This window comes from Homo sapiens, chromosome 11 (genome assembly GCF_000001405.40).
Source record: "Homo sapiens chromosome 11, GRCh38.p14 Primary Assembly".
NCBI classification, from domain to species: Eukaryota; Metazoa; Chordata; class Mammalia; order Primates; family Hominidae; genus Homo; species Homo sapiens.
In genome coordinates this window covers 973,990-991,831 of record NC_000011.10, presented here as the reverse complement: position 1 = coordinate 991,831, position 17,842 = coordinate 973,990, and the positions used below count along the sequence as shown (strand labels likewise).

At 57.0% G+C, this 17,842-nt stretch overlaps 1 protein-coding gene across 12 annotated transcripts in view; it reads right to left on the bottom strand.

The window, feature by feature from the left end:
* AP2A2 (adaptor related protein complex 2 subunit alpha 2) overlaps nucleotides 1-17,842 on the bottom strand; it is an 86,371-nt gene that overhangs the window by 20,409 nt on the left and 48,120 nt on the right. For 9 of the 12 annotated variants that reach the window (NR_144510.2, XM_047426480.1, XM_047426479.1 and 6 more), the window contains 6 exons: nucleotides 14,608-14,737; nucleotides 10,533-10,634; nucleotides 7,079-7,187; nucleotides 6,250-6,400; nucleotides 4,879-5,047; nucleotides 3,143-3,280 (listed from right to left, as the gene is read on the bottom strand). Coding sequence is in view for 10 of the 12 variants with exons in the window: in XM_047426480.1 (XP_047282436.1) it covers nucleotides 3,143-3,280; nucleotides 4,879-5,047; nucleotides 6,250-6,400; nucleotides 7,079-7,187; nucleotides 10,533-10,634; nucleotides 14,608-14,737 (799 nt within the window). In the remaining 2 variants the exon portion in view is untranslated. The remainder of the gene's footprint in view (nucleotides 1-3,142; nucleotides 3,281-4,878; nucleotides 5,048-6,249; nucleotides 6,401-7,078; nucleotides 7,188-10,532; nucleotides 10,635-14,607; nucleotides 14,738-17,842) is intronic. The other 3 variants (NR_144509.2, NM_012305.4, XM_047426484.1) reach the window with 1 other exon arrangement.

Sequence of the window (17,842 nt, the reverse complement as noted above, 5' to 3'; positions counted from 1 at the left end):
AGGCATCAAGACCGCGCACCTCCCGAGGGCACCCCTAATACCCTGCCGCCCCTCCCCACACCCTGCCGCCCCCTCTCCACACCCTGCCACTGGCCTCTCAGGTGCTGGTGACTGTGCCCCCCCACCCCAAGTCCCTGCCTGGAGCCTGGACCCCCAAACCCCAACCTGACTCCGTGACACTTCCAGGGCATCATTCCAAAATGTACTGCCTCTGAGCCCTACCCGCAGCTCACGGCTGTGCACCAGGGGCCCTCAGGCCTCACTGGCAGGGTCCCCATGTCTGCTTCCACCCCTGCCTCGCGTGCCCTGCTCCCCAGCCTGTGCTAAGGTACCTCCCACCCCTCCACGAACGGATGCTCTGCCCTCCCAGTAGCCTCTGCACCATCATCCTCTCCAGACCAGGCCACTATCACCTTCTGCAGAAGTCCACACAGCCCCCCAGGAGTGTAATGCCTCCTGAGGCCCCCAGAACATGAGGCACTTCCTCCAGCCATCCCACCCACAGCACAGCAACCCACGGTCCTGCTCTCAATCCGTCCCCCTCCATGGATGGCAAGGTGCCGAGTAGGCAGGGAGTGGGCCATGTCCAGTTTGGACACTTAGCACCTAGCACAGCCAGAGAACACGCCCTGCCATGCTCGACTGAAAGGACAGAGGGAAACACCATGCCCGGCTGAAAGGATGGAGGGGAGCACCATACCCGGCTGAAAGGACAGAGGGGAGCACCATACCCGGCTGAAAGGACGGAGGGGAGCACCATACCCGGCTGAAAGGACGGGGTGGGGGGAGCATCGTGCCCGGCTGAAAGGATGGAGGGGAGCACCATGCCCGGCTAAAAGGACGGAGGGGAGCACCATACCCGACTGAAAGGATGGGGTGGGGGGAGCACCATACCCGACTGAAAGGATGGGGTGGGGGGAGCACCATGCCCAGCTGAAAGGATGGGGTGGGGGGAGCACCATGCCCAGCTGAAAGGATGGGGTGGGGGGAGCACCATGCCCAGCTGAAAGGATGGGGTGAGGGGAGCACCATGCCCAGATGAAAGGACGGGGTGGGGGGAGCACCCTGCCCGGCTGAAAGGATGGGGTGGGGGGAGCACCATGCCCAGCTGAAAGGATGGGGTGGGGGAGCACCATGCCCAGCTGAAAGGATGGGGTGAGGGGAGCATCATGTCCGGCTGAAAGGACGGGCTGGGGGGAGCATCATGCAGGCCAAGACACAGCACCTGTCTTACTCCTCACAGCAGGAGCTGGCTGAGGATTGCCGCTCATCACGCAGAGGGGCGAGAGCAGACACCGGGCTGACGAATGCCCAGGACCTCAAAATCTGCACAACTGCACTCAGAAGCACACTGCTTCTGTCTCTGTTCAAAACACCCAGAACAACAATCAGGAACGAGGCTCCCGTGACGGCCGTCCCCAGAGCCAGCCCCACCCCACCACAAGTGCTGACACCAGGCCACACTGCCCCAGCCAGGCCAGAGAGGGACCACTGGCTACAGTCAACGAGCACCTGCCTGGCCCCTCTACAGACAGCCCTGCCCTACACCACGGTGCCTGCCCTTGGGGCCTCCTGCCGGGAGTCAGCCCACCCCGTCCCTGTCCCCCTCAACTTCCCAGGCCCACTGTCCTGGAGGGTGGACAGTCCAGCGTGAGAGCCGCCTCCTGGCCCCTGCTCTCTGCAGGTCTGCAGTGCCTCACTGAAGCTCAGTCCATGGTAATTTCACCCCTCAGCATTGAAGCCCCAGCACCTGGGCTCCTCCGTTCACTAAAAGACCCCTGAAAACCCGAGTCTCTCACCTGGGCATGACCACACAACACCTGCCCAGAGCAACCCTGTCACCTGCCACTAGCTCCAACACTGGCTCTCGGCAAAGCTCCCAAGGAGGCCTTGAGCCGCACTTCGCCCAAAAAAAACAAATAACAAAGCGCTTTCTATACAACGGAGGCGCTGTCTCAGCCTCAACAAGAGGCTGTGGTCCTGGCTGGTCACAGTGGCGAACCCCACGCGAGGACACCGGGCCTCCCCCTTAAACCCCACCATCCACAGACACGGTGAGCCTGAGAGGCCTGTGAGTGTGGTGGAGGCCTCAGGCCCTCTTCTCTGCTGACCATGTGGCCTCCACAAGGGTTTCTTCCCTCAGGTTTTGGTTCATGCTCAGTCTTTCACACGTACAGGTTTGATGAGCTTCAGCTATCTGGCAAGTGTGCACACCTACTTTGTGAATAAAAACAACACGGGACATTAAGCTATGGCCTAGATCCCGTCCTTCCCAGAGATCAAGAGGGACACCCAAAAAAGCCAAGCCACAAAGGATTAATTCAAGGGCTCAAAATGCAACACAATTAAAAGAATTTTGCCCACAGGAGTCTGGATTTGTGCAGCCCCAGCGCAGACGGCTGGAGCCTCACTCAGACCTGGGGCTACAGTGCCACCACTGCAAGGACAGGCAGGCCACAGAAGCCGCGCAGGACGGGCATTTTAGTTTTTTTTTTTTTGAGACAGAGTTTCGCTCTTGTTGCTCAGGCTGGAGTGCAATGGCGCAATCTCGGCTCACCACAACCTCCGCCTCCGCCTCCCGGGTTCAAGCGATTCTCCTGCCTCAGCCTCCGGAGTAGCTGGCATTACAGGCATGCGCCACTACGCCCGGCTAATTTTGTATTTTCAGTAGAGACGGGGTCAGGGTTTCCCCATGTTTGTCAGGCTGGTCTTGAACTCCTGACCTCAGGTGATCCGCCCGCCTTGGCCTCCCAAGGTGTACAGGCGTGAGCCACCACACCCGGCCAATAGTTATTTTCAAGACCAAACGACTCTACCAAAAATGCTGATTTTTTTTTAAGACAGGGTCTCGCTGTGTTGCCCAGGCTAGAGTGCAGTGACATGATCTCGACTCACTGCAGCCTCAACCTCCTGGCCTCAGGTGATCCTCCCGCCTCCACCTCAGGAGTAGCGGGGACCACAGGTGCCACCACACCCAGCTTGAAAATGTGGATGAAAACACAGAGGCAGAGGAGCCTTGTATTCAGCATCTCATGGGTTCTCAATCAAGTCCTGCTGGACGGAATCGCAGAGCACGAAGGAAATCCTGCCGCTGAGATTCACGCCTGTGGCAGGAGAGGACTCAGAGGCCACCAGAACTCACAATCTCTTCTCGGATGGAGTAGTCAGCTGTCTCCAGATAGCTCAGCATCTCGGCCACGATCTGTGGGGCGTTGCTGCGGTCGCACATGGCGTAGAGGAGGTCCACGGCCCGCTGCCGCACGCTCACGTCCCGCTCAGTCTGGGGAACAAGGCACAGAGTAAGAGGTCGCAGGAGCAAGGCACAAGCTTGGGGACAGGCTGGGGACAGGCTCGGCACCCGCATCTCAACACCCACTCTGAGTTTCCCTCACATGCACATCCAGGTCCAGGGAGCCGACCTGCACTCGGGCCACGTGTGTCTGGACAGCCCGGAATAGAGTTCCGCCTGCTGGCCCGGCCCTCCCGCACAGGCCAGCTTCGCTAGGACCCAGCGCACTGCCTGGATTCTGCCCGCTCGTCCATGCCTCCCTTGCCCTCCACAAGGGCCAGCTTCGCTAGGACTGAGCGCACTGCCTGGTGCAGGCCATCAAGGACTCCCTTCCATGCAGCCAAAGACCCCACTGCCTCGGACACGGAGCTGCCCCAAGGCAGGTCCTCACGCCCCACCCCAGAGCCCGTGCTGATGGGCCCCCAGGAGGCTCTGCAGCACGAGAAAGCCCGAGCTCTGCTCCCAACAAAGGCAGGAGAGTGGGCACCACCAGCGCTAGCACTGGCCGTGTGCAAATGAGTGTCCAGCCCTTCTGACAATAGGGATTGACTAAAACAAACACCAAAACCAGGACCAAGAAGAATCCAGAATACCAAATGCCCACCACGAGCCCCTTGCACACCACCCGGAATATCTGTGAGCTGCACGCAGACGTGCGGGGGACTGGGAGCAGCCCTGCCACAGCCTGAGGCTGAGCCAGATGGGGGACATGCAGCTCCCCGCCTCCCACTCCCTAACGCATGTGCACCGGTGACTAGGGACTTGGTGGACACACCGCAGGGTCCCCTATGTGGAACGAACCCTCGGGGTCGCTCTGGAGACTCGCAAAGGCTGGCAATGGCCAACCTCAACTGGGCTCTTCCAACTCTGAAATTTTTTTTTTTTTTTGAGACGGAGTCTCGCTCTGTCGCCCACGCTGGAGTGCAGTGGCGCGATCTCGGCTCACTGCAAGCTCCGCCTCTTGGGTTCAAGCCATTCTTCTGCCTGAGCCTCCTGAGTAGCTGGGACTACAGGCACCGGCCGCCACCACGCCCGGCTAATTTTTTTTTGCATTTTTAGTAAAGACGGGGTTTCACCGTGTTAGCCGGGATGGTCTCGATCTCCTGACCTTGTGATCCACCCGCCTCGGCCTCCCAAAGTGCTGGGATTACAGGCGTCAGCCACCGCGCCCGGCCCCAACTCTGAAATTTTAATCCCCGAACAAAGTGAGTTTCCTTTGTAAAAGGGGGATTTTCTTGGAGATAAGGGAAAAAAATTTCATCTTTCTACCAAGAAGAACCATTTCTACTTGTCAGCACTATGCACGCGCAGGATGGCACACGGGGGCTGCCCCCAGCAGGGAAAGGGCTGCCAGAGACTCCTCTGCTCAGCCTAACCAGGACAGCAGGGCCAACCCGGCCATCTCCAGGCAGCATGGCCCTCAACAGTGGTGTGACCTCCCAAGAGTAGGTGACAGGCGGAGGCCAGCAGCACCAGCACCACCTCCATCTCTGCGGGGAGTCAGGAGGCACTGCGTACCCCCAGCCTTCACAGGAAGACCCACGGCACCTGCTCAGGGAGTGAGCAGAACCCAAGGACAGGGCACTCGCCTTCAGGGCGTTGATGACCGTCTCGATGTGCGTCTTGACAGCCTCATGGGAGAACTCAGAGCTGGCCAGCGTGCACATGCTCTCCAGGGCCAGGTAGCGCAGGTTGGTCTCGCGGTGCTGCAGAAACTGGCCCAACTGGTTGCAGGCACGGACGAGCAGGTTCGGCTCACTGTGTGGAGGGAGGGGAAGTGGGTGGGGTTTCCTCAGCAAGTGCAACACAAACTGGACAGAGTCTGCGTTCCCCGACGGGTCCAGATGGCAGACAGCAAAGTCACACGGCACTCACCGCCACCACACTGCTCAAGTGGGAACTCGGGGGCCTCCCCAGATGCAGATGACGCCCGACCCCCACCCCTGACATCCATTTTGTGTCCATCCTGTGCATCCCCACAGTGAGTCAGCAGCCCGTGTGTCCACTGGAGCCTTCCCAGCACCTCCTGAGCCTCAATCTGCATCAGGCCCGCGGGAGGCCGGTCAAGCTGTGACCGGCAATGGGGTCTCAGCCAGAGGCACCAGCCCAGGGCAGGGAGAAGGCCGAGAAGGCCGGGAGCGCGGCTGCTGCCCCACTGACTCTACTGTCTCCTCAGGATGTGGCTTCTCCTCACATAACAACAGAGCTTTCTCCAAAATGGGAAATTTCAGTTTTAATAACTCTCAGTTCTGAAGTGTGACTCTCAGACTGAGTTTTCATCATTTGTAAAAATGCTGTAGTAGCAAATGGGTGGTGTTCACAAGCTGTAGAGAGCGTCTGCCCACAGCCTGGCACGTGCCCTCATTATTGGGAGCCTGGTGAGAACTGCGATCTCATTCTCACAGGACCCTAAAGCATGGCCCCACACGCAAGACCCACGCCAGACCACATGTGGTGCGCCGCAACTGCTGAGCAGAGAAGGCGTGGGAGCAGAGGAGGCAGACCCTCCAGGCTGTGTGGAGCGACCGCCACCCTGCGCCTCTGCGCTTCGTGGATGGGCACAGACGTTTCCAGCACTGCCCTGCGACCCTGGACCCACCAAGTGCGGCTCCACATCCAGCAAAGCCACGGGACATGCGCGCACACCCCCCACCCCACCCGTCTCCTCTCTGTTCCACTACATGAGAAGCCAGTCAGGAGTGGGGATGCTCAGGGGAAGGAGGAAAAGGCCCTCGTGTGGGATGAGACCACAGTCACCAAAGCAATCCACGGTGAGCTCAGAGCAGGAGGGGCCGGGCTGCACAGAAAGAAAAAAAGCATCCGGCAGGGAGCACAGAGGCAGGACGAAGGGGAGGCCCATGGAGTGGACAAACCAGACATGATCCGCCCAGTCTCGTGCCAACGAGAAGGAACGTGTGTGTGTGCGCGAGACGAAGCCTCTCCACAGGCAGCCGACACACCTGTCATGGTGAATGATTAAGCTGATGGCCTCGAAGAGCACGGCATTCTTCGCGTTGGAGTGCTGGACCTTCTTCGACTTGGGCGGTTCTTGGGCTTTGTTCAGGATGGTCTCCAGGCACTCAGTCAGGCGGCCTCGCACTGCAGGGTCTTCTGGGCAAGACAGAACGGTGCTCACCAGTCTCCAGTGGCCCGCAGCCCACCCTGCCCCTCCCGGCTGCACCCATACATCATGAGAGCATTTTTAATATAGTTCATTCACATTTGTGTACCCAGCTGGAAGCATTTACAAAACTGAGACAGGCCGGGCACGGTGGCTCACTTCTGTAATCCCAGCACTTTGGGAGGCCGAGGCAGGCCAGTCACCTGAGGTCAGGAGTTCAAGAACAGACTGGCCAACATGGTGAAACCCCGTCTCTACAAAAACGCAAAAGTTAGCCGGGTATGATGGCAGGTGCCTGTAATCCCAGCTACTCAGGAAGATGAGGTGGGAGAATCGCTTGAACCCGGGAGGCAGAGGTTGCAGTGAGCTGAGGTCGCGTCACTGCACTCCAGCCTGGGCAACAAAGGGAGACTCCATCTCAAAAAGAAAACCTGCACAAATCTGATACTATAAAAGCACAAATAGACCCAAACACTAACAAAACTGTAGGCTCTGCAATAACTGCTCCACGAAAGCCAGCGCATACAGCAGCACTGGCAGAAAGGTCCATGAATCAAGAGACAGGGCTAGTAACACACTTCTTAAAATAACAAACAAACCACTTAAATCTGAGACAGGGAATCAGACTGGCACTGGTGCAGCTTCAGGAGCCGCGGCCTGCGCGTTACCTGGGGGTGGGTAGCACTGCAGCAGTCTCAGCAGTTTGACAGACAGCCAGGGAGCCGGGACAAAATAGTAAGTGTAATCCTGGAGATCTGTGGATGCAGACGTCACGATCTGTAAGACAGCACAGGCAATGAGACACGCTGCCGGACACGAGCCCCTACTGCGGGGACCCAAAGAAAAGCCATACTCACTCCTCGGGTCACGCCTGAGCTGGAAAAATGGTTTTGTTTCATGTGCCAAGAGTGTCTGACACTGCTTGGTACCCCCTGGGTTCGCCGTGAGAGGGCTGCACTGTCACTCGGCAACACGCTGCCGCAGCTGAGTGGCAGCCCTCGCTCGGTACAAGACACCATAGCACCTGGATTTGAAACTACAGTCTTTCCTTTGTGGACCGGCACGTGAATGAAATCAGAGAGAGAGCTTTAGCCTCCTCAGAAGGAAGAAGCACCCCCACCCCCAGAAGCCGGCATTCTGACCCTACCCCACAACCCCACAGGGCCCCCCGACCACAGGCCAACCCAGATGGTGAGCTCACGGAGGCAGGGAGACTGCCCACCTCACTCACATCCCATCTCTGTGTCCAATGCGGCCTTTGGCTTGGCAGATCCTCCGTCAACCTCCTGAACAAGTGACAATCACGACTACCTCGCATTTCCACTGACATACAGCCCGATGTCTCCTGTTTCCCGGAGGTCAGGGTAGTTCCTCCCTTCCTACAAAGCTCACATGTGACACTTTTAGGCCGTAAGTGAACCCATTCAGAAAAGTTCACCCTGACTCCTACCCTAAACTGCAAGATGCCAGCCCAGACTTGGGTCACGGACTCCTGCTGCAAGGAGGCAAGCTCTAGGCTGTCAAAGACAAGGCTGAAAGGCACAAACACAAAGCAGGAAAAGGCAAGAATCACAGCACTTCCGTGACACACAGACACGGCCAACATGAGCTGTCTCTCAAACAAGTACGCACCTAAGGCCGGGCTCAGAGAGAAATGTACAGCCTTAACTGTATATATTTGAAACAAATATAAAGAGAAAAGCAACAAAAATTCATCTCAAGCGTTTAAAAAGAGACTAGGCCAGGTGCGGTGGCTCCCGCCTGTAATCCCAGCACTTTGAGAGGCCAAGGCGGGCGGATCACAAGGTCAGGAGATCGAGACCATCCTGGCTAACACAGTGAAACCCCATCTCTACTAAAAAATACAAAAAATTAGCCAGGCATGGTGGCGGGCGCCTGTAGTCCCAGCTACTCGAGAGGCTGAGGCAGGAGAATGGCGTGAACCCAGGAGGCGGAGCTTGTAGTGAGCCAAGATCGTGCCACTGCACTCCAGCCTGGGCGACAGAGTGAGACTCCATCTCAAAATAAATAAATAAATAAATAAATAAATAATAAAAAGAGACTAGCAAATTAACCCAAAGAAAGTAGAGGAAAGGAGTCCAGGTGCGGTGTCTCATGCCTATAATGCCAGCACTGTGGGAGGCCAAGGCAGGTGCAATCAATCACTTGAGGTCGGGAGTTCGCAACCAGCCTGGCCATTGTGGTGAAACCCCATCTCCATCAAAAATATACAAAAATTAACTGGGCGTGGTGGCGACGGCCTGTAGTCCCAGCTACTCGGGAGGCTGAGGTAGGAGAATCGCTTGAACACAAGCAGAGGTTGTGGTAAACCGAGATCGTGCCATTGCACTCCAACCTGGGCAACAGAGTGCGACTCCGACTCAAAAAAAAAAAAAAAAAAAAAGAAAAAGAAAATATGCACAGTTCCACAACTTATAAAATAAATTGAATTCATAATTAGAAAGTTTCACAGCCAGGCGCAGGGGCTCACACCTGTAATCCCAGCACTTTGGGAGGCCAAGGTGGGCAGATCACCTGAGGTCAGGAGTTCGAGACCAGCCTGACCAACATGGAAAAACCCCATCTCTACTAAAAATACAAAATTAGCCAGGCGTGCTGGCGGGCGCCTGTTAATCCCAGCTACTCGGGAGGCTGAGGCAGGAGAACCGCTTGAACCTGGGAGGCAGAGATTATGGTGAGCCGAGATCGTACCACTGCACTCCAACCTGGGCACCAAGAGCGAGACCCTATCTCAAAAAAAAAAAAAAAGTTTCCCACAAAGAAAACTGCAAGTTCAAATGTTTTTACCAGTTAATGATAAAAACTGTTTGACAAACTAGATAGAGAAAGGAACTTCTTTAATGTGAAGAGTACCAACGACAACAACAAAATTCTAAAGCAGACATCATACTTAATGGTGAAATATTCAACACAAAAAACGGACAACCCAGGGTAAAAATGGGTAAAAGACTCAGGCACTTCACAAAACAAGACACCCAAACAGCCAATCAACATGCAAAGTTGCTCAACCTCATTGATAATCTGGAAAATGTAGATTTAAATCTCAAAGAGGCCGGGTGCGGTGGCTCACGCCTATAATTCCAGCAGTTTGGGAGGCCAAAGCAGGAAGATTGCTTGAGGTCAGGAGTTCAAGACCAGCCTGGCCAACATGGTGAAACCTCATCTCTGCTAAAAATACAAAAATTAGCCAGGCTTGGTGGTGGGTGCCTGTAATCCCAGCTACTCTGGAGGCTGAGGCAGGAGAATCCCTTGAATCCAGGAGACAGAGGTGGCAGTGAGCTGAGACTGCACCACTGCACTCTAGCCTGGGCGACAAAGTGAGACTCTGTCTCAAAAGAAAAAAATAAAAAATAAATCACAGAGCTCCCACTATACACCCAGATGACTAAAACCCAAGAGACTAGCACTACGCGTGCCGCGCCCGCGCCTCCTGCTGCCGCTGTGAGAGCCGTGTGCACGGCAGGGGAAGCTGGTCTGGCAACGCCAGTCTCCTCAGGTTCAGGAGCCGCGGCCCCAGCTGAGCCATCTCGTGCACATGGAAACCAAGGGACATCCAAGACTGCTCATGCTGGAGGATTCACAGCAGCCTCAGAGGGCAAGGAGCTAAGTGTTCAACAGGACAGCAGGTAAACTGCAGCGGACAATTCACACAACCAATTCTATGAAGCATCAAACATGAATGTATAACAGCTGCACACAAAACAAAAATTTTACCATGTTGAGCAAAACAAAAGAATGTGTGCTGCAGGTCCATCTGCATCAAACTCAGAACAGGAAGCTGAATGGCAGGCTTTAGCGTGCACGCCAGATGGTGGGTCCACGAAGCACCAGCCACGCTTCCCCAGTGGGGGACACGGGGCCACTGGGTGCCCCTCCTCCACCCACATGGTGTTGGGTGCTCACTCACACCATGGGAACAGGGAGCTGTGCTTCTGTACAGACAGGACAGTTCTCAACAAGAAGGCTGACAGAGAAGCCAAGTTGGTTTTCATCCCTGAATTTATAAACTGATCAAATACCTTGCATTCTACAAATAAGCTAATAAATAAATAACTAAGACAAAACCCACCCTGACTTCTGCTCCCCCACGAACAGACTTACTCTGCTTAGCCTAGAGACAGCCAGAGACACGGAGGTTTTAAACTCTTCTGGGTTCTTCTGTGCTAAAGTGGTGATCAGACTTGTGGCTGCAGTTACCACACCCTGAAAGAAAACACACACACAAGAGTCAGAACACTTGAAGCTAACCACTTGTGTTCACTCATCTTCCAAAGAAAACCTTAAACCAACCAGCAGCACAGTGGCAGCCCACAGCCACCTCGGCCTCAGGCCTACTCCGAGAAACCTACAATGTTCTCCCAGATGGCACATGCAGATTTTCTTTTTCCAGCTTCTCCTTAAAAACTGGGAAGTTCCGTCATGCTTAGCCCAGATCCCTGCCAGCATCGAAGAGCCAGAGGGCCACGTCCAGCCATGCAGGTCAAGCATGTGGGCTGCACACGCCACCTTGCCTGCTGCCCTCTCCTGGCCTGGCCTCCACCGTCATCTGCACTTGCTGCCTCTGGTTTAATAACGCATGTTCACTGTAGAGGGAGACGCTACCTTTACACTGATCTGAATCTTTACAACCCAGAAGTGAGACTATAGAAAAGAGCAACTGGAGAAGTCCTTTTCCATTCTCCTTTTTGGAAAGTGGCCCTGGCAGTCACTCAACCACCATAGGCTGGATGAGGCCACTAGGCCCAGCACGCGAGTCCTCCCTCCCCGCTCCTCCTGGCCCTCAGTGAGAACAGATTCAGATCCCAGGGCACAAGCAGTCCTCCCCAAAGCACCGGGCAGCCTGTCACCGCTCCAGGACACGGCACCGGGCAGCCTGTCACCGCTCCAGGACACGGCACCGGGCACCCTGTCACCGCTCCAGGACACGGCACCGGGCACCCTGTCACCGCTCCAGGACACGGCACCGGGCAGCCTGTCACCGCTCCAGGACACGGCACCGGGCACCCTGTCACCGCTCCAGGACACGGCACCGGGCAGCCTGTCACCGCTCCAGGACACGGCACCGGGCAGCCTGTCACCGCTCCAGGACACGGCACCGGGCAGCCTGTCACCGCTCCAGGACACGGCACCGGGCAGCCTGTCACCGCTCCAGGACACGGCACCGGGCAGCCTGTCACCGCTCCAGGACACGGCACCGGGCAGCCTGTCACCGCTCCAGGACACGGCACCGGGCAGCCTGTCACCGCTCCAGGACACGGCACCGGGCAGCCTGTCACCGCTCCAGGACACGGCACCGGGCAGCCTGTCACCGCTCCAGGACACGGCACCGGGCAGCCTGTCACCGCTCCAGGACACGGCACCGGGCAGCCTGTCACCGCTCCAGGACAGCCACTAGGGAATCAGTCACTCAGACCTCTTGAAAAAAGACTTTAATTATATAAAGACATTCTCCCATAAATTTTTTTAAAAAATATAAAATAAATGATACCTATTCACTCTGAAGATGTAAACAGTGAGCTCAGGAAGTGTCTACTTGCGTGGGCACGGTGGCTTATGCTGTAATCCCAGCACTTTGGGAGGCCGAAGCAGGCGGATCCCCTGAGGTCAGGAGCTCAAGACCAGCCTGGCCAACACGGTGAAACCCCATCTCTACTAAAAATACAAATATTATCCAGGCGTGGTGGCACTCGCCTCGCCTGTAATCCCAGCTACTCGGGAAGCTGAGGCAGGACAATCGCCTGAACCCAGGAGGCAGAGGTTGCAGTGAGCTGAGATCGCGCCACTGCACTCCAGCCTGGGTGACAGAGCAAGCCTCTGTCTGAAAGGAAATGTCTACTTGAATGACTGATGCAATCCCCCCACCACTCGCCCTGTGCCACGGCTCCTCAGCCAGGCTGGGGTGCACCTACTATAGCACGGCACTCTCCCCAGAGACCTGCTGTGCCTGTGCCCTCAGCTTTCCAAGGAAAATGTGAAAGCTGTAAGAAAGAAATTGGTCTGATTGGTCTTCTTCCTGTATTTCTCGGTGAGCAAAGTGCTAACGGATTTTGCCATGTCCAATAAAGAACTTGTAAGAAACTGCAGGTCTGTAACTTCCATGAGGGCAGAGTCATTCCCCACGGGGCTCCTGAATGTTCACGGTGTGTTCCCCCAGGAAACACGCATCTAGAATGCCCCCTGCAACAGGCTGACAGGCGCGGAGCTCAGCCTCTCATTTAGGACGTCCTCCCCCTGCACTGAGACTGTAAGAGGCCTCTCGAGGGGCACACTCAGGCCCGCGACACGTGGCCCCACCCCTGTGGTGGCAGCTGGTGCCAAAGCGACCTCCGTGTCTCCTCAGTGGCCTCCAGCCCTTGGCCCAGCCCCCCAACCCTTCTCCCCATGGTGTCTCCTGTCCTTGTCCACTCCAACCTGTCTGCTCCATCAGGCCACCCTCAGGCTACAGACCCAAGGCTCGGCACGGTGCCCATGCAGCACTCGGGCCAAATCACCTCCCTCCCCACCACCCAACTCCGGGCGCAGGCCTGACCGCCGACCTTCTGACCCTCACCCACCTGGTCCCGCCCACGCTTCCTGTCCCACTCCACAAGACCTCCCTGAAGGACACATGGGGGAGCTCACTCACTCTAGGTGAGCAAATGACACCTTTCTTGGGGGCTCCTGACTTGAGACCAGAGAAGCCAAGCCTCAGGCCTTCGCTGTCAGAGGTGGAAGGCATTTGACAAAAGCCATGGCCACACAAAAGACAGCTGCCAGGGGTGCAGGTGCGCAAGCTGGGAGAGCTAAGGAGGGAAAGTACTGGGCAGCAGGGAGCCCACCCTGGGGTTGGCTGTGGCGTCCCTTCAGGATGAGTTTCCGTTGCCTATAACCAAGAATATGCTGACTCAAGTGCCTGGTGAAATAAAGCCAGATGCATAAAAATACAAAAAGCAAACCAAGTAGCTGGCGTCACAGAATCATAAAGTATCCAAGGAGAGGTGCCCTTGTGGCCATCTGAGGCAAGGCCCTGCCACCCTGAAAAGCACTCAGGGTGACCCTGCGGCTGCATGGCCATGGAAACTTCCTGCCAAGGCAGGAGCAATGACAGCAGTCCCGGCCAGTCCCACAGAGCGTGCACAGATCCTGTCTGCAGAAGGCCCAGGGGAAAGCAGGCAGCCCCGGTCCCTCAGCAGCCCAGTGACCGGCTGCCATGTGCAGCAGGAGCCCGGGGCCTGCCTCCCTGACCAGGCCCTGCCGACTCACAGCTCCCACATAGCTGCTTCACCCGCACACTCTCTGACGCCCAAGACCCCAACACGCCAACTCTGGGTACAGGCCTGGGGCTGTCAGAGGGCATTTCCTCTTTCCCAGCTTCGGCCTCCTTGACTGCAAAGCGGGAAAATCCCATGACCTCCCACGGTCCACGGGATGGTGGACGACAGCCTCCAGCAGCACCGTCTGAAAGGCTCCCCCGCCAGGATGGGGCTCACGGCAACATGGGAAAGTGGCATTCTCGGCCCTCTATCCTGGATCCTTGTGAACGCGTGACCGGCCCACATGCCTCTCCACGCAGCAGGAAATACTTCCACTCCTGCCAACTCTCACCCTCTCATTCATAGAGCAGAGTTCAGGCAGGACAAGCACATTCTGCCCACATCCACCCCTGCTGGATGCGGTGGACGGCTCTGTGACCCTCAAGCCCCTGAGGCTCACACACTAGCACAGCCCCTCCCCCACACGTGCCTCTCACAGCACCTGAACACACATCACCAAATCGCTGGAAACCTCCACCCTTGGTGTATGCCTATACCATGGGGGCCTGGCCCGTGGAGTAGGCACGAGGATTAGTAAGACTGCACGTTAGAGCCTAGATGAGGGCACAGGCAGCCGGGACACCAGGCAGGAGCTCCGCATACTAGATAGGTGTTTCCAGGAGACACGTGTCTCAGCTGGGGGTGTCTGCAGAGCCTCTGTGCTACCCGAGGGCTTCAGCCAATGCCTGGCCACAGGATGAGCAGAGGCGGAGTCTTACTCATCCAGCCCCAGGAAGGGCCCCCGTGGCCTCAGCACGCAGCCACAGCAGCCCCTGTGACAGCCTCTCCTGGGCATCCCGAGAAGGCGCACCATGGTGTCTTCACAACGGCCATCCCAAAGGTCACCTGGGGGAGCGGGGAGAACCAAAGCCAAGGGTGCTTACCAAGTGCTGGTCATTGAGCAGGTGCACCACTCGGGATGTCCAGTCGCCCATGGGGACAAGATCGGGGGACGTCCTGTACAGGCGCAGCAAGCACAGGGCCGCGCTCTGCTTCACGCTGTCCATAGTGTCTCTGAAAGACAGACGTCAAGAGTCACTCGCAACAGGCTGAAGACAGCGCAGAGCTGCACGGAGCACCCCCCCAGAGCCAGCAGGAGACGCGGGGGTGGGGCTGGCGCAGGGGCCAAGACAGCACTCAGGGCCGCCTGCCGAGGCCGCCTAGGGGGCAGCAGCAGTGTTCTCAGCATACATGGGCCCTGCTCCAAAGGTCTCCCTGCCAACCTTCTCACCACCAAAACCACCAGCCGACCACATGCAGCTCACATTGCTCATTTGTTGTTTGAACAATAGCTTTCTTGTTGTTGTTGTTACAACTTAATAATCCACAATCACAACAGAAATGCTTGGAGGGCCCTGCACCGCCATGGAGCTCCACATCTGCTTGATGATCTTCCCCTGCCCCACGCCCACCCTCACCCCACCACGCCCCACCCTGAACAGTGGGCTGGGCCACACATGCCCTTGCCCCTGGAGCAAAGGGCTTCGGGTCCCTACAGACACGGTGGGAAGGGAGCCGGCCATGGCTCTCCTGCTCTGCTGCCAACATGCTTGTCCAGGGCACAGACGTGTTCCATGCTCCGCTTATCCCCCTTCGCCCTCCTGCCACCAGATTCTGCTAAGCAGCTGGGAAGGCAACAGGGACCCTGGGGTGGACGCTGTGGAGGCACAGCTGAAAAAGGGCCAGTCTCTTCTCCAAGCGCTTAACAGAATCAGCTGGAATCTGCTGCCCCACATGGAAGGCAGAAAAGGGTATAGGGACTACCTGTACCATTTACCTTTTGGCTTTTTTATTCCTAAATCTCCCCCTATACTATTCCAAAAAATTACTTTGAATAAAAAATTCCCCTTCTGGGTGCCAACGCCCCTGCAAGGAGGAGTAGGTATTGTGTCCCTCTTCCGGCCCACCCCATCCTCACCAGATCAGCCCAGAGCAGCAACCGCACACACACCCTGCCATGCGTCCATGTGGATGTGTGGTCGAGGCCACGTCAGGGGTGTGTTCCAGGCGCCAGCAGGGCTGTCCTTGCCAGGCGGCTTCAGGACCCCATGACTGGGCCCCCAGCAGTCCTTCAACATAGAAGAGCCAACCAGGTTCCATGCTTGTGGCTACAAATGCCGACACACGAGGGCGCCCAGCATGCCACACTCCTCAGAGAGGAGGAGGATCCGCCTCCTCTTTTAGGCAGAAGAACACAGTCTAAATCATCAGCTCACACCAAGGGGACGGGGGCCCCACCACTACTCTCCGGTGTCAGCTCACACGAGGGAGACCGAGGACCCCACCATTACTTTCCAGCATCTGCTCACACAAGGGAGACAGAGGACCCCACCGCCACTCTCCGACGTCGGCTCACACGAGGGAGACCAAGGATCCCACAGCTACTCGCCGACGTCGGCTCACACGAGGGAGACCGAGGACCCCACCGCTACTCTCCGAGGTCGGCTCACACGAGGGAGACCGAGGACCCCACCGCTACTCTCCGACGTCGGCTCACACGAGGGAGACCGAGGACCCCACCGCTACTCTCCGACGTCGGCTCACACGAGGGAGACCGAGGACCCCACTGCTACTCACTAATGTCGGCTCGTAAGAGGGAGACCGAGGACCCCACCACTACTCTCCGATGTCGGCTCACACGAGGGAGACCGAGGACCCCACCGCTACTCTCCGACGTCGGCTCACACAAGGGAGACCGAGGACCCCACTGCTACTCACTAATGTCGGCTCGTAAGAGGGAGACCGAGGACCCCACCACTACTCTCCGACGTCAGCTCACACGAGGGAGACCGAGGACCCCACTGCTACTCTCCGATGTCGGCTCACACGAGGGATACCGAGGACCCTACAGCTACTCGCTAATGTCGGCTCACACGAGGGAGACCGAGGACCCCACGGCTACTCTGCACCTCCACGGGTTCTCTTTCCACCAACTCCGTCCATCCCAGCAGAGACACCACCCCACTCTTCTGCCTTGGCCGCTGCCTCCCGTCCCTACCTCTGGCCCTAGGAATGACCTGACCTCCTCAGCACCTACTCTGTCCTTCCATTTCTAGGTGACACACACACCAGCAGTCCTCCAATGACAGCACCTCCTTCCCGAGCATGTTTTTGTTTTTGTTTTTGAGACAGAGTCTCGCTCTTTCGCCAGGCTGGAGTACAGTGGAGCAATCTCGGCTCACTGCAACCTCCGCCTCCCGGGTTCAAGCGATTCTCCTGCCTCAGCCTCCTGAGTAACTGGGACTACAGGAGGGCGCCACCATGCCCAGCTAATTTTTCTGGTTTTAGTAGAGACGGGGTTTCACCATGTTGGCCAGGATGGTCTCGAGCTCTTGAACTCATGATCTGCCCGTCTCAGCCTCCCAAAGTACTGGGATTACAGGCATGAGCCACCATGCCCAGCTTTCTTTTTTTTTTTTTTTTTTTGAGACAGAGTCTTATTCTGTTGCCCAGGCTGGTGTGTAGTGGTGCAATCTCCAACTTACTGCAGCCTCCGCCTCCTGGGTTCAAGCGATTCTCCTGCCTCAAGCCTTCTGAGTAGCTGGGACTACAGGTGAGCACCACCACACCCAGCTAATTTTTGTATTTTTAGTAGAGACGGGGTTTCGCCATGTTGGCCGGGCTGGTCTCAAACTCCTGACCTCAGGCCCGCCCACCTTGGCCTTCCAAGTGCTGGGATTACATGCGTGAGCCACTGTGCCCAGCCTTAGCATATTACTTTGAGTCATCTACTACTTAGCTGGATTTCAACAACTAGCCCTTTTCTTCAAGGAAGGCCCATGGGTACCATGTTACCTGAGCTCTCTGAGGTAGGAGAACCCTGCCTGTGACCTTCATCCCCATGGGACCACTCAGGCACCAGAACACGGGCCACCCACTCCCTTCATGGGACCACTCAGGCACCAGAACACGGGCCACCCACTCCCTTCATGGGACCACTCAGGCACCAGAACACGGGCCACCTGCTCCCTTCTGGCTGCAGATGCTGTGCACTGGCCACCTGCTCCCTTCCAGCCGCAGATGCACTGCACTGGCCCCTGGAGACCCCTCCTCACCCTGGCTCCTCCCTCCTCTGTCCCTGGCTCCTGCAGCAGGTCCTCGGTTCAGGTAGTGCCCCAC